Source organism: Homo sapiens, chromosome 4, assembly GCF_000001405.40.
Source record: "Homo sapiens chromosome 4, GRCh38.p14 Primary Assembly".
Lineage (NCBI taxonomy): Eukaryota > Metazoa > Chordata > Mammalia > Primates > Hominidae > Homo > Homo sapiens.
The window spans coordinates 120,642,240-120,655,783 of NC_000004.12; the positions used below are offsets into that span (position 1 = coordinate 120,642,240).

At 38.3% G+C, this 13,544-nt stretch overlaps 3 annotated features.

Moving 5' to 3' along the window:
• Positions 6,175 to 6,469: an enhancer, noted in NCBI's record as "tiled region #8715; HepG2 Activating non-DNase unmatched - State 24:Quies, and K562 Activating non-DNase unmatched - State 24:Quies". NCBI's record gives its function as "activates a minimal TATA promoter and a strong SV40 promoter by Sharpr-MPRA in HepG2 and K562 cells {active_cell/tissue: HepG2 | K562}" and the evidence as "EXISTENCE:reporter gene assay evidence [ECO:0000049][PMID:27701403]".
• Positions 8,143 to 8,312: an enhancer, noted in NCBI's record as "experimental_72414 CRE fragment used in MPRA reporter constructs". NCBI's record gives its function as "activates a minimal promoter by MPRAs in K562 erythroleukemia cells, with activity observed for both the introgressed and non-introgressed 4:121571622 variant alleles {active_cell/tissue: K562}" and the evidence as "EXISTENCE:reporter gene assay evidence [ECO:0000049][PMID:34662402]".
• Positions 10,275 to 10,444: an enhancer, noted in NCBI's record as "experimental_72419 CRE fragment used in MPRA reporter constructs". NCBI's record gives its function as "activates a minimal promoter by MPRAs in K562 erythroleukemia cells, with activity observed for both the introgressed and non-introgressed 4:121573754 variant alleles {active_cell/tissue: K562}" and the evidence as "EXISTENCE:reporter gene assay evidence [ECO:0000049][PMID:34662402]".

Sequence of the window (13,544 nt, forward strand, 5' to 3'; positions counted from 1 at the left end):
TAAACCCAACCCTCATCTGTGTGGGGTCTGAGGGTTAGGCCACTGTGTCCTTATTAGGCCATAGTTGCCCTACTTGTGCCTTTTCAGTTTAAACTGCAAGGCAAAAACAAAAGATGACTCTGTAGAATACTTAAGTGACAAACACATTCCTCCTTGCTCTCATTATGCAGCAGCAGTCCTACCTAGTCAAAATGAAGGGGCAAAACTCTCTTGCTAACATTGGTAACTCCTTTCTTTGCCTGTTGGCCCACCAGTGTGAAGACCCTAGTGTGATCGGATGACAACTGTAGCTTTGAGTTTAAAGGATGATCTCCATTATGTTCCCCATGTAAGTGTGACCCTTCAGGAAGCCAAGGTTTTTAGTTGTGGACATAAGAAGTGCAAATCCCTCGAATTAGTCACTGAGAGAGGTGGTGAGGGGTCCACTTCTACCTTCACTTCTTGGTTCCTGCACTACTGTGTTCTATCTTATGGAAACATAAGATCATATAATGGTCACGGTTTAAGGAGTATACTGCATCCTAAAGGAGAGAACCTAATTCCTGAAGGCTGTCATCTCAAAGTTTACCTCAGCTATACTTTCAAGAGGTTGTGCTCAAGCTCCTTCAAGCTGATAGCTTCTGATCAGTGCAGTGCATAGGGGACCAAATTGCCTGTACCCAACGCCTCACCTCCTTTGATTGAAGACAATGTTATATGGGATGCCATGTTAGTAGGTCAGACACTCTGTGAGCCCTTAATTGTTAGTTCCCAGATGAGGTGTGGTGGCTAGAAAAGGCAAACCCACATGTGGAATATGTATAAATCCAAGTTAGGGTGAATAATTGCCCATTCCAGAGTGGAAAGGGTCTTATATAATCAACTTGTCACCAAGTAGCTAATCTCCCTGAACAATGATACTATATCAGAGGCGCAATGTTGGTTTCTTTTTTTTTTCCTTTTTTTTTATGATTATTATTATTTTTATTATTATACTTTAAGTTTTAGGGTACATGTGCACATTGTGCAGGTTAGTTACATATGTATACATGTGCCATGCTGGTGTGCTGCACCCACTAACTCGTCATCTAGCATTAGGTATATCTCCCAATGCTATCCCTCCCCCCTACCCCCACCCCACAACCGTCCCCAGAGTGTGATATTCCCCTACCTGTGTCCATGTGATCTCATTGTTCAATTCCCACCTATGAGTGAGAATATGCAGTGTTTGGTTTTTTGTTCTTGCGATAGTTTACTGAGAATGATGATTTCCAATTTCATCCATGTCCCTACAAAGGACATGAACTCATCATTTTTTATGGCTGCATAGTATTCCATGTTGTATATGTGCCACATTTTCTTAATTCAGTCTATCATTGTTGGACATTTGGGTTGGTTCCAAGTTTTTGCTATTGTGAATAATGCTGCAATAAACATATGTGTGCATGTGTCTTTATAGCAGCATGATTTATAGTCCTTTGGGTATATACCCAGTAATGGGATGGCTGGGTCAAATGGTATTTCTAGTTCTAGATCCCTGAGGAATCGCCACACTGACTTCCACAATGGTTGAAGTAGTTTACAGCCCCACCAACAGTGTAAAAGTGTTCCTATTTCTCTACATCCTCTCCAGCACCTGTTGTTTCCTGACTTTTTAATGATTGCCATTCTAATTGGTGTGAGATGGTATCTCATTGTGATTTTGATTTGCATTTCTCTGATGGCCAGTGATGATGAGCATTTTTTCATGTGTTTTTTGGCTGCATAAATGTCTTCTTTTGGGAAGTGTCTGTTCATGTCCTTTGCCCACTTTTTGATGGGGTTGTTTGTTTTTTTCTTGTAAATTTGTTTGAGTTCATTGTAGATTCTGGATATTAGCCCTTTGTCAGATGAGTAGGTTGCGAAAATTTTCTCCCATTTTGTAGGTTGCCTGTTCACTCTGATGGTAGTTTCTTTTGCTGTGCAGAAGCTCTTTAGTTTAGTTAGATCCCATTTGCCAATTTTGTCTTTTGTTGCCATTGCTTTTGGTGTTTTAGACATGAAGTCCTTGCCCATGCCTATGTCCTCAATGGTAATGCCTAGGTTTTCTTCTAGGGTTTTTATGGTTTTAGGTCTAATATTTAACTCTTTAATCCATCTTGAATTGATTTTTGTATAAGGTGTAAGGAAGGGATCCAGTTTCAGCTTTCTACATATGGCTAGCCAGTTTTCCCAGCACCATTTATTAAATAGGGAATCCTTTCCCCATTGCTTGTTTTTCTCAGTTTTGTCAAAGATCAGATAGTTGTAGATATGTGGCGTTATTTCTGAGGGCTCTGTTCTGTTCCATTGATCTATATCTCTATTTTGGTACCAGTGCCATGCTGTTTTGGTTACTGTAGCCTTGTAGTATAGTTTGAAGTCAGGTAGTGTGATGCCTCCAGCTTTGTTCTTTTGTCTTAGGATTGACTTGGCGATGCGGGCTCTTTTTTGGTTCCATATGAACTTTAAAGTAGTTTTTTCCAATTCTGTGAAGAAAGGCATTTGTAGCTTGATGGGGATGGCATTGAATCTGTAAATTACCTTGGGCAGTATGGCCATTTTCACGATATTGATTCTTCCTACCCATGAGCATGGAATGTTCTTCCATTTGTTTGTATCCTCTTTTATTTCATTGAGCAGTGGTTTGTAGTTCTCCTTGAAGAGGTCCTTCACATCCCTTGTAAGTTGGATTCCTAGGTATTTTATTCTCTTTGTAGCAATTGTGAATGGGAGTTCACTCATGATTTGGCTCTCTGTTTGTCTGTTGTTGGTGTATAAGAATGCTTGTGATTTTTGTACATTGATTTTGTATCCTGAGACTTTGCTGAAGTTGCTTATCAGCTTAAGGAGATTTTGGGCTGAGACAATGGGGTTTTATAGATATATAATCATGTCGTCTACAAACAGGGACAATTTGACTTCCTCTTTTCCTAATTGAATACCCTTTATTTCCTTCTCCTGCCTAACTGCCCTGGCCAGAACTTCCAACACTATGTTGAATAGGAGTGGTGAGAGAGGGCATCCCTGTCTTGTGCCAGTTTTCAAAGGGAATGCTTCCAGTTTTTGCCCATTCAGTATGATATTGGCTGTGGGTTTGTCATAGATAGCTCTTATTATTTTGAAATACATCCCATCAATACATAATTTATTGAGAGTTTTTAGCATGAAGGGTTGTTGAATTTTGTCAAAGGTTTTTTCTGCATCTGTTGAGAGAATCATGTGGTTTTTGTCTTTGGCTCTGTTTGTATGCTGGATTACATTTATTGATTTGTGTATATTGAACCAGCCTTGCATCCCAGGGATGAAGCCCACTTGATCACGGTGGATAAGCTTTTTGATGTGATGCTGGATTCGTTTAGTGCTATAAATTTCCCTCTACACACTGCTTTGAATGTGTCCCAGAGATTCTGGTAAGTTGTGTCTTTGTTCTCATTGGTTTCAAAGAACATCTTTATTTCTGCCTTCATTTCGTTATGTACCCAGTAGTCATTCAGGAGCACGTTGTTCAGTTTCCATGTAGTTGAGCGGTTTTGAGTGAGATTCTTAATCCTGAGTTCTAGTTTGATTGCACTGTGGTCTGAGAGATAGTTTGTTATAATTTCTGTTCTTTTACATTTGCTGAGGAGAGCTTTACTTCCAACTATGTGGTCAATTTTGGAATAGGTGTGGTGTGGTGCTGAAAAACATGTATATTCTGTTGATTTGGGGTGGAGAGTTCTGTAGATGTCTACTAGGTCTGCTTGGTGCAGAGCTGAGTTCAATTCCTGGGTATCCTTGTTGACTTTCTGTCTCGTTGATCTGTCTAATGTTGACAGTGGGGTGTTAAAGTCTCCCATTATTAATGTGTGGGAGTCTAAGTCTCTTTGTAGGTCACTCAGGACTTGTTTTATGAATCTTGGTGCTCCTGTATTGGGTGCATACATATTTAGGATAGTTAGCTCTTCTTGTTGAATTGATCCCTTCACCATTATGTAATGGCCTTCTTTGTCTCTTTTGATCTTTGTTGGTTTAAAGTCTGTTTTATCACAGACTAGGATTGCAACCCCTGCCTTTTTTGTTTTCCATTTGCTTGGTAGATCTTCCTCCTTCCTTTTATTTTGAGCCTATGTGTGTCTCTGCACGTGAGATGGGTTTCCTGAATACAGCACACTGATGGGTCTTGACTCTTTATCCAATTTGCCAGTCTGTGTCTTTTAATTGGAGCATTTAGTCCATTTACATTTAAGGTTAATATTGTTATGTGTGAATTTGATCCTGTCATTATGATGTTAGCTGGTTATTTTGCTCATTAGTTGATGCAGTTTCTTCCTAGTCTTGATGGTCTTTACATTTTGGCATGATTTTGCAGCAGCTGGTACCGGTTGTTCCTTTCCATGTTTAGTGCTTCCTTCAGGAGCTCTTTTAGGGCAGGCCTGGTGGTGACAAAATCTCTCAGCATTTGCTTGTCTGTAAAGTATTTTATTTCTCCTTTGCTTATGAAGCTTAGTTTGGCTGGATATGAAATTCTGGGTTGAAAATTCTTTTCTTTAAGAATGTTGAATATTGGCCCCCACTCTCTTCTGGCTTGTAGGGTTTCTGCCAAGAGATCCGCTGTTAGTCTGATGGGCTTCCCTTTGAGGGTAACCCAACCTTTCTCTCTGGCTGCCCTTAACATTTTTGCCTTCATTTCAACTTTGGTGAATCTGACAATTATGTGTCTTGGAGTTGCTCTTCTCGAGGAGTATCTTTGTGGCATTCTCTGTATTTCCTGAATCTGAACATCGGCCTGCCTTGCTAGATTGGGGAAGTTCTCCTGGATAATATCCTGCAGCGTGTTTTCCAACTTGGTTCCATTCTCCCCATCACTTTCAGGTACACCAATCAGACGTAGATTTGGTCTTTTCACATAGTCCCATATTTCTTGGAGGCTTTGCTCATTTCTTTTTATTCTTTTTTCTCTAAACTTTCCTTCTCGCTTCATTTCATTCATTTCATCTTCCATCGCTGATACTCTTTCTTCCAGTTGATCACATCGGCTCCTGAGGCTTCTGCATTCTTCACGTAGTTCTCAAGCCTTGGTTTTCAGCTCCATCAGCTCCTTTAAGCACTTCTCTGTATTGGTTATTCTAGTTATACATTCTTCTAAATTTTTTTTCAAAGTTTTCCACTTCTTTGCCTTTGGTTTGAATGTCCTCCTGTAGCTCAGAGTAATTTGATCGTCTGAAGCCTTCTTCTCTCAGCTCGTCAAAGTCATTCTCCATCCAGCTTTGTTCCGTTGCTGGTGAGGAACTGCGTTCCTTTGGAGGAGGAGAGGCGCTCTGCTTTTTAGAGTTTCCAGTTTTTCTGTTCTGTTTTTTCCCCATCTTTGTGGTTTTATCTACTTTTGGTCTTTGATGATGGTGATGTACAGATGGGTTTTTGGTGTGGATGTCCTTTCTGTTTGTTAGTTTTCCTTCTAACAGACAGGACCCTCAGCTGCAGGTCTGTTGGAATACCCTGCCATGTGAGGTATCAGTGTGCCCCTGCTGGGGGGGTGCCTCCCAGTTAGGCTGCTCGGGGGTCAGGGGTCAGGGACCCACTTGAGGAGGCAGTCTGCCCATTCTCAGATCTCCAGCTGCGTGCTGGGAGAACCACTGCTCTCTTCAAAGCTGTCAGACAGGGACATTTAAGTCTGCAGAGGTTACTGCTGTCTTTTTGTTTGTCTATGCCCTGCCCCCAGAGGTGGAGCCTACAGAGGCAGGCAGGCCTCCTTGAGCTGTGGTGGGCTCCACCCTGTTGGAGCTTCCCGGCTGCTTTGTTTACCTAAGCAAGCCTGGGCAATGTCGGGCGCCCCTCCCCCAGTCGCTGCTGCCTTGCAGTTTGATCTCAGACTGCTGTGCTAGCAATCAGCGAGACTCCGTGGGCGTAGGACCCTCCGAGCCAGGTGTGGGATGTAATCTCGTCGTGCGCCGTTTTTTAAGCCCATCGGAAAAGCGCAGTATTCGGGTGGGAGTGACCCGATTTTCCAGGTGCCGTCTGTCACCCCTTTCTTTCACTCGGAAAGGGAACTCCCTGACCCCTTGCGCTTCCCAAGTGAGGCAATGCCTCGCCCTGCTTCAGCTCGCGCACGGTGCGTGCACCCACTGACCTGCGCCCACTGTCTGGCACTCCCTAGTGAGATGAACCCGGTACCTCAGATGGAAATGCAGAAATCACCGTCTTCTGCGTCGCTCACGCTGGGAGCTGTAGACCGGAGCTGTTCCTATTCGGCCATCTTGGCTCCTCCCCGCAATGTTGGTTTCTGCTGTTGGCAGGTTTTATGCTCAGCAGCAGCAGTAGCTAGATCAACCATGATGAAAGGGAGCCCCAGGCTGTTGGGCCTATTGATAAGTTCTGTCTCTTTCACCCTGACTACTCGTTCATAAGTCCTCTGTGCAAGCATAAGTGTGCAAGCACCACCTCTCTCAGTGTTGGCTGACATCTGGTGACAGAATAATCCTGTCTCATTGATTATTAGTAGCTCTTCTGCAGTGGACACAAATATACAAAATAAACATCATTACACTTTGTGTCACACTTCCATAGATCCATGGGTCCACATGCCTCTCCCTCAGACCTCCTTATCTCTACTATTCCAATGTTGCCTCTTCCAGGCCTTTGACCAAACAAACCAGCTAAACCACTTTGGAACTGTGTATGAGTTGGTATATATGTATATATCTAGCCACTTCTCTGACAAAACAAAGTGGTTTATCAGCCACACTGCCCAAAGCACTATCATTTAGGGGACCTCTCTTACCCCAGTCTTTTCTTGACTAGGGATATAAAGCAGTAGCACTGTATTTTTCACTTGCCTCCATATATCCAGCTGTCAACTAAGCTTGGGTTTTTCCCTCCTCCTTCAGTTGGTTGTAGGGGGACTACTGAAGTCACAGCAACGAGCCAAGGCAGAAAGCTTATATCTGTTTTCTGCACCTGATCCAGCTCAATTCTGGGTTTCCCACTCCCATTTAAAGTGGATCATGCTGGTCTAACCAGACCTTAAGAAATGTCCTCAATGCCTTGAATTCAATCAGTACTAATAATATGATTGTAATGTACTTACACATATACATAATGATAAATAATCTCTTGTGTGCTAAAAAAAAAAGCCTGAAATTCTGAAATTATTTCAGACATTCATAATTCAGCTATAGATTCTTCAGTAATATAAAAAGATTTCATAAAATTGATGCTACATTAATGTAGCAATGTATAACATTATAAATATTAAATATTATGGTGGGTATAAAATGATTTAAAAAATCATTAGAAATGGAAATGACATCTCCCTAAAAAAGTGTGTGCTATCTAGGATTGTGGTTATATCTTTTAATTTTCTTCAGGGTCCAAATATAATGTTTCCTCATTTTAGGCTTTAGTTTAGCAGTGGGAGTTTTGCTATACGAATGTGTACTCTCTCCTTGTTTTGATGCAAAGTGAAATTCATAGAATAATCCGGGACTATTATCTAGTGAACTTGGTTCACTTATACAGCACCATTCAAATGGTGCTTTACATAATGATTACAAAGTGCTGCCAACTTTGTAATCTGAAACTGTTAACTGGCCACTTTAAAGATACTGGTCTTGATTTTTATGACTTTTCAAAAATAAAGGAGAATCCTAGAGCTAACCATGCTTAGTTCAATTCACTAATATATTCATATGAAGAAATGCAAGTTCAGAGGCAGCAACTAACTGACTTAAGCAAGATGACGGTCACAATTGGTGCCAGGGTTTGCAGGGCTACGGAAAAAAATTAAAAAACATTGAGAATTGAGAGGTTAAATATAAAGATAAAGAAGCTTTTCTACAGAGAGAAAAAGAAGTATTTTTCCAAGTATATCAAGTTATAAAATGAATGTAGAATCATTACTATTACTACACTTATTTTCTACTGTATAAACCTGACAAAGGTTAGCACTTTTAAAAACTTCCCCCTCGTATAAAGGAGAAAATGTGTTTTTCAAAATTTGAAGCCCAAAAAGAAAAAATTAAACAAAGTAGGGCAGATTCAACCTACATTTCTCAGCCAGGCAGATTGAAAGAAAGCGGCAAATATTTTCAGGGTAATTTTCCATCCATTGATTGTTAGTGCCCAGCATTACTATCTGGATCGCATAGTGTTATCTCATCTTAGTTCAGCTTCCTTGTCCCTACCAGTCAATTAGTCAAGTGATTTTTTTTTACCTTCTAAAAATGACATGAAGTATTTAACATAGCCATTCCGATTTTTCATTATCTTGAATTTTGTTGTTGTATTTTCAGCAGATCAAATTGGAGAACACTTGTATCTACAAAAAGCCAAGCTGTCAACATTAGACAGATCAATGAGACAGAAAGTTAACAAGGATACCCAGGAATTGAACTCAGCTCTGCAGCAAGTGGACCTAATAGACATCCACAGAACTCTCCACCCCAAATCAACAGAATATACATTTTTTTCAGCACCACACCACACCTACTCCAAAATTGACCACGTAGTTGGAAGTAAAGCACTCCTCAGCAAATGTAAAAGAACAGAAATTATAACAAACTGTCTCTCAGACCACAGTGCAATCAAACTAGAACTCAGGATTAAGAAACTCACTCAAAACTGCTCAACTGCATGGAAACTGAACAACCTGCTCCTGAATGACTACTGGGTACATAACAAAATGAAGGCAGAAATAAAGATGTTCTTTGAAACCAATGAGAACAAAGACACAACTTATCAGAATCACTGGGACACATTCAAAGCAGTGTGTAGAGGGAAATTTATAGCACTAAATGCCCACAAGAGAAAGCAGGAAAGATCCAAAATTGACACCCTAACATCACAATTAAAAGAACTAGAAAAGCAAGAGCAAACACATTCAAAAGCTAGCAGAAGGCAGGAAATAACGAAAATCAGAGCAGAACTGAAGGAAACAGAGACACAAAAAACCCTTCAAAAATTAATGAATCCAGGAGCTGGTTTTTTGAAAATATCAACAAAATCGATAGACCGCTAGCAAGACTAATAAAGAAGAAAAGAGAGAAGAATCAAATAGACGCAATACAAAATGATAAAGGGGATATCACCACCGATCCCACAGAAATACAAACTACCATCAGAGAATACTACAAACACCTCTACACAAATAAACTAGAAAACCTAGAAGAAATGGATAAATTCCTCGACACATACACCCTCCCAAGACTAAACAAGGAAGAAGCTGAATCTCTGAACAGATCAATAACAGGCTCTGAAATTGTGGCAATAATCAATAGCTTACCTGAAATTGTGGCAATAATCAATAGCTTACCAACCAAAAAAAGTCCAGGACCAGATGGATTCACAGCCGACTTCTACCAGAGGTACAAGGAGGAGCTGGTACCATTCCTTCTGAAACTATTCCAATCAATAGAAAAAGAGGGAATTCTCCCTAACTCGTTTTATGAGGCCAGCATCATCCTGATACCAAAGCCTGGCAGAGACACAACCAAAAAAGAGAATTTTAGACCAATATCCTTGATTAACACTGATGCAAAAATCCTCAATAAAATACTGGCAAACCGAATCCAGCAGCACATCAAAAAGCTTATCCACCATGATCAAGTGGGCTTCATCCCTGGGATGCAAGGCTGGTTCAACATATGCAAATCGATAAATGTAATCCAGCATATAAACAGAACCCAAGACAAAAACCACACGATTATCTCAATAGATGCAGAAAAGGCCTTTGACAAAATTCAACAACGCTTCATGCTAAAAACTCTCAATAAATTACGTATTGATAGGACGAATCTCAAAATAATAAGACCTATCTACGACAAACCCACAGCCAATATCATACTGAATGGGCAAAAACTGGAAGCATTCCCTTTGAAAACTGGCACAAGACAGGGATGCCCTCTCTCACCACTCCTATTCAACATAGTGTTGGAAGTTCTGGCCAGGGCAATCAGGCAGGAGAAGGAAATAAAGGATATTCAATTAGGAAAAGAGGAAGTCAAATTGTCCCTGTTTGCAGATGAGATGATTGTATATCTAGAAAACCCCATCGTCTCAGCCCAAAATCTCCTTAAGCTGATAAGCAACTTCAGCAAAGTCTCAGGATACAAAATCAATGTACAAAAATCACAAGCATTCTTATACACCAACAACAGACAAACAGAGAGCCAAATCATGAGTGAACTCCCATTCACAATTGCTTCAAAGAGAATAAAATACCTAGGAATCCAACTTACAAGGGATGTGAAGGACCTCTTCAAGGAGAACTACAAACCACTGCTCAATGAAATAAAAGAGGATACAAACAAATGGAAGAACATTCCATTATTTTCAAAATACCATTCGATGTGCATGGAATTTAGTTTGAGATGAGAAATAATGTTCTGTAACTTTCAACAGTGGAACAGAAGAGTAGATCTGTTTTTCGTTCCTTGATTGTCCGTTCACAGTTAAACATATTTACACATTGCTCTTGCTGCTTGAGATGCCTGATGGCAACATGTTAGTCATTTTCTCACTTAACTCATTATACCATTTAAGCATCCTGAATCACACTACTCCATCAGCTTACATCATGTCAAGTATCATGTCAGCTGGAACTTTATATCTAAAAGTTTACAACAGTTTCTAAACTAGCCCCAGTCTATGCATCAGAAAACAAACTACAAGTGAGAAGAAAGAGAATAGAAAATAGCTTGTTCTCAATATTGACACATTAATTAAAAATAAAAGGTCTAACTTGTTAAGTTAGAATGTTTTCTTCTGCAAGACTTTTAACATATTAGCCATTTTTGTTTGTAATTATTTCAATAACTAAAATCACAATACATTTTGAGCATTTATGGTGTGCCAGGTGCTGATACTTCATATATTATCTTATTTATTCCTCCGAGAAATCCCTTAAGAAGTCTGAACTTTCTAAGAGACCTGCACTGGTTCACACAGCTCATTGGCAAAGCCTGTATCACATCCTGGACTAAATTACTGCACAGTCTGAGCTATAAAGCACTAGGCTGTGTCCCCTGATGTCTCTGGATATAATTTCAAAAACATTTAAAGTAGCCTCTTATTATTATATGGAAGCTTAGGTGACTACAAGGAGAGTGCTTATGCCTTAGTTATTCATTTTGGCTTGAAGTCCTTAAAATAAGAGTAATAAACCAACAGGTCACAGGCCATATCCAACTCATAGATGTACTTTGTTTGGCCCAAGAAATGCTGCAAAACTGTTAAATTTATGATGACTATTTTAAAATATAAGAATATTTATAAAATCTGGATTTCTGGCTTCTCTTGAAAAATCAGACCACCTATCTTAAATACAGGAAATTGTCACTTAAAAGAATGTACTGATGTTTTACAACTACATTTATGAGAAAGATAAGAAAATATGTCAGGTACTTAATAATCTGTCTACTCTTCTGAGGTTAGCGGATACTCTTAGTTCTGCCACTTTGCATTCTTTTTTTTCCTAAATGTGCAGACTCAACATACATTGATCAGAAGGCTGGATATGTTATGCGTTTTAGAAGCAACTCTGCACACTGGGATATCAGGACTTCAAATGATTAGTAACATTTGCTTTTAATTTAAAAAATTTATTCATTTAATAGTTGGGCCATTAAAAAGTACCTCTGTAAAATGAAGTACTGTGGCTTCACTTTCTATAAGTAAAAACAGTTCCATCAGGTGGCTGTCTGTTACATCAGAAATCAATGTGTTCTGTCTAATTTGTCTCTGTTATTTCCAGGGTCAGGTTCCTTCATCTTCAATTACTTAGTCTTACCGTGATATATAACAGAGTCAAGTGTTATAGCTATTATTCAGAAAGTCTGTTTCTTAAGAAGTAATACAGGGTACATAATATCCTTAAATATGCCCAGCCTTCTCCAACTAAGACAAATTGTTTAAAGCTTCTATAATATTTAAGATTCAGAACACTGGATTTCAACTTCCTCCAAAACAATTCATTAAATCTTAGAATGCATAGGTTAGTGCCATATGATGACTTTTCTGACAAATAATAAAATATTTCAAGAGCTTGATGGGAGAAGTTGGATTAAAATGGTAAATTTAAATATTTTAATGGATTACAAACTACCATTCTCAACAATCACTATGTATGCACATACATAAACACATTCAACTGCTCACCACATTATGTATGCATGTGTGACACATACACATAAATACATTCATACACAACTGGTTGTCTAAAACTCAGATTTAGAAAGCTCAGAAAAGTACCAAGAAAAAAGAGAAGGCACGTCAGGAGATATCTCTGAGTCAGTAGAAGGGAAGATAGAAGTTCAGGGTGCTAAAATTGTATACTCAATGAATATAAACCAAATGATTTATATATTTTAATATATCCAATGGTATCATAACCAAATTCTACCTTATGCTCCAGCCCCCTCACATGAGCCTTCAGACCATAATCAAAACATATTGATTTCATAGTTTATACTTAATTCCATTGACACTGGAAATTTAATTTCTCACACCATAGCAAATTGGAAGTAGTGATCACAAGTCTATAGTTACCTTAAGTAGTCACACTGTCAACAGAGGATTGACCTTGGGAGGAGATAGAATTATTTTATATAAGAATATAATAAAAATCTGACAATGATTTTAGCATATAATGTTTAAGAGATAAAGAAAAACAAACCAAAAGAGTTACATTTTTAATTTTATTACTTCAAAACATACACATACTCACCCTGAAAAATTAACTTGTATGGTTTTCCCAAAAACGCTAAGTATATGAGACATTGCTTCATTTAATTTTCTTTATTTTTCTATGTGGTATATTTTAGTATTCAGCTGTTACTTGATTACTATTTTATGTTTTACAAATTATAAAAAGCTATTTGTAACCCATATTTTAAAGTATTCTCTTAAAGACTACATAGCCATCATGAATCTTTTTGAGAACAATGATTCACTAAGCAGTTGGTATTTTAACTTTCATGTTGCTCTATGGCAAATACAGATATATTTGAGTATCTTATTGTCATTCTGCATAAAAATTCCAATTTTCAGTTAAATTACTCCACATCACTCAAAAGTAAAGATAAATTAGGAACATTAATATCATTTTAAGAAATATTTAAGATATCATTTTAAGAAATATTCTGTCAGTAATAACAATATTATTAATTCAAGAAAGTAGTTAGAGCTCATGGTTAAAGAGGACACATACTTTGAACAACTAAAACCATTTGTGTTTTTTGCAAAGTCTTTTGTGGCAAAATCAGAACAAACACTTGTTAGGGAAGATGACATTAATGATGATTTATAGTGGTGTTCAGGAGCAATCAAAACTAGAAGATTCTAAGAAGTCAAAAAAAAGAAAAAAGAAAGAAAAAAAAGGAAGTAAGGAAACTTTACTCTTCAAATTGGAAGTAAGATCCTATTTGCTGAATGTGTATCTTAAACCCACTATCCTAAGACTTTTGTTCGCATAAATACAAACACAAAATAAAATGAATTGGTTTTGAACAACTGTTAGACCATAATCAGATTAAGCAATTAATACAATTCTTTTTTAAATGTGATGAGAATTA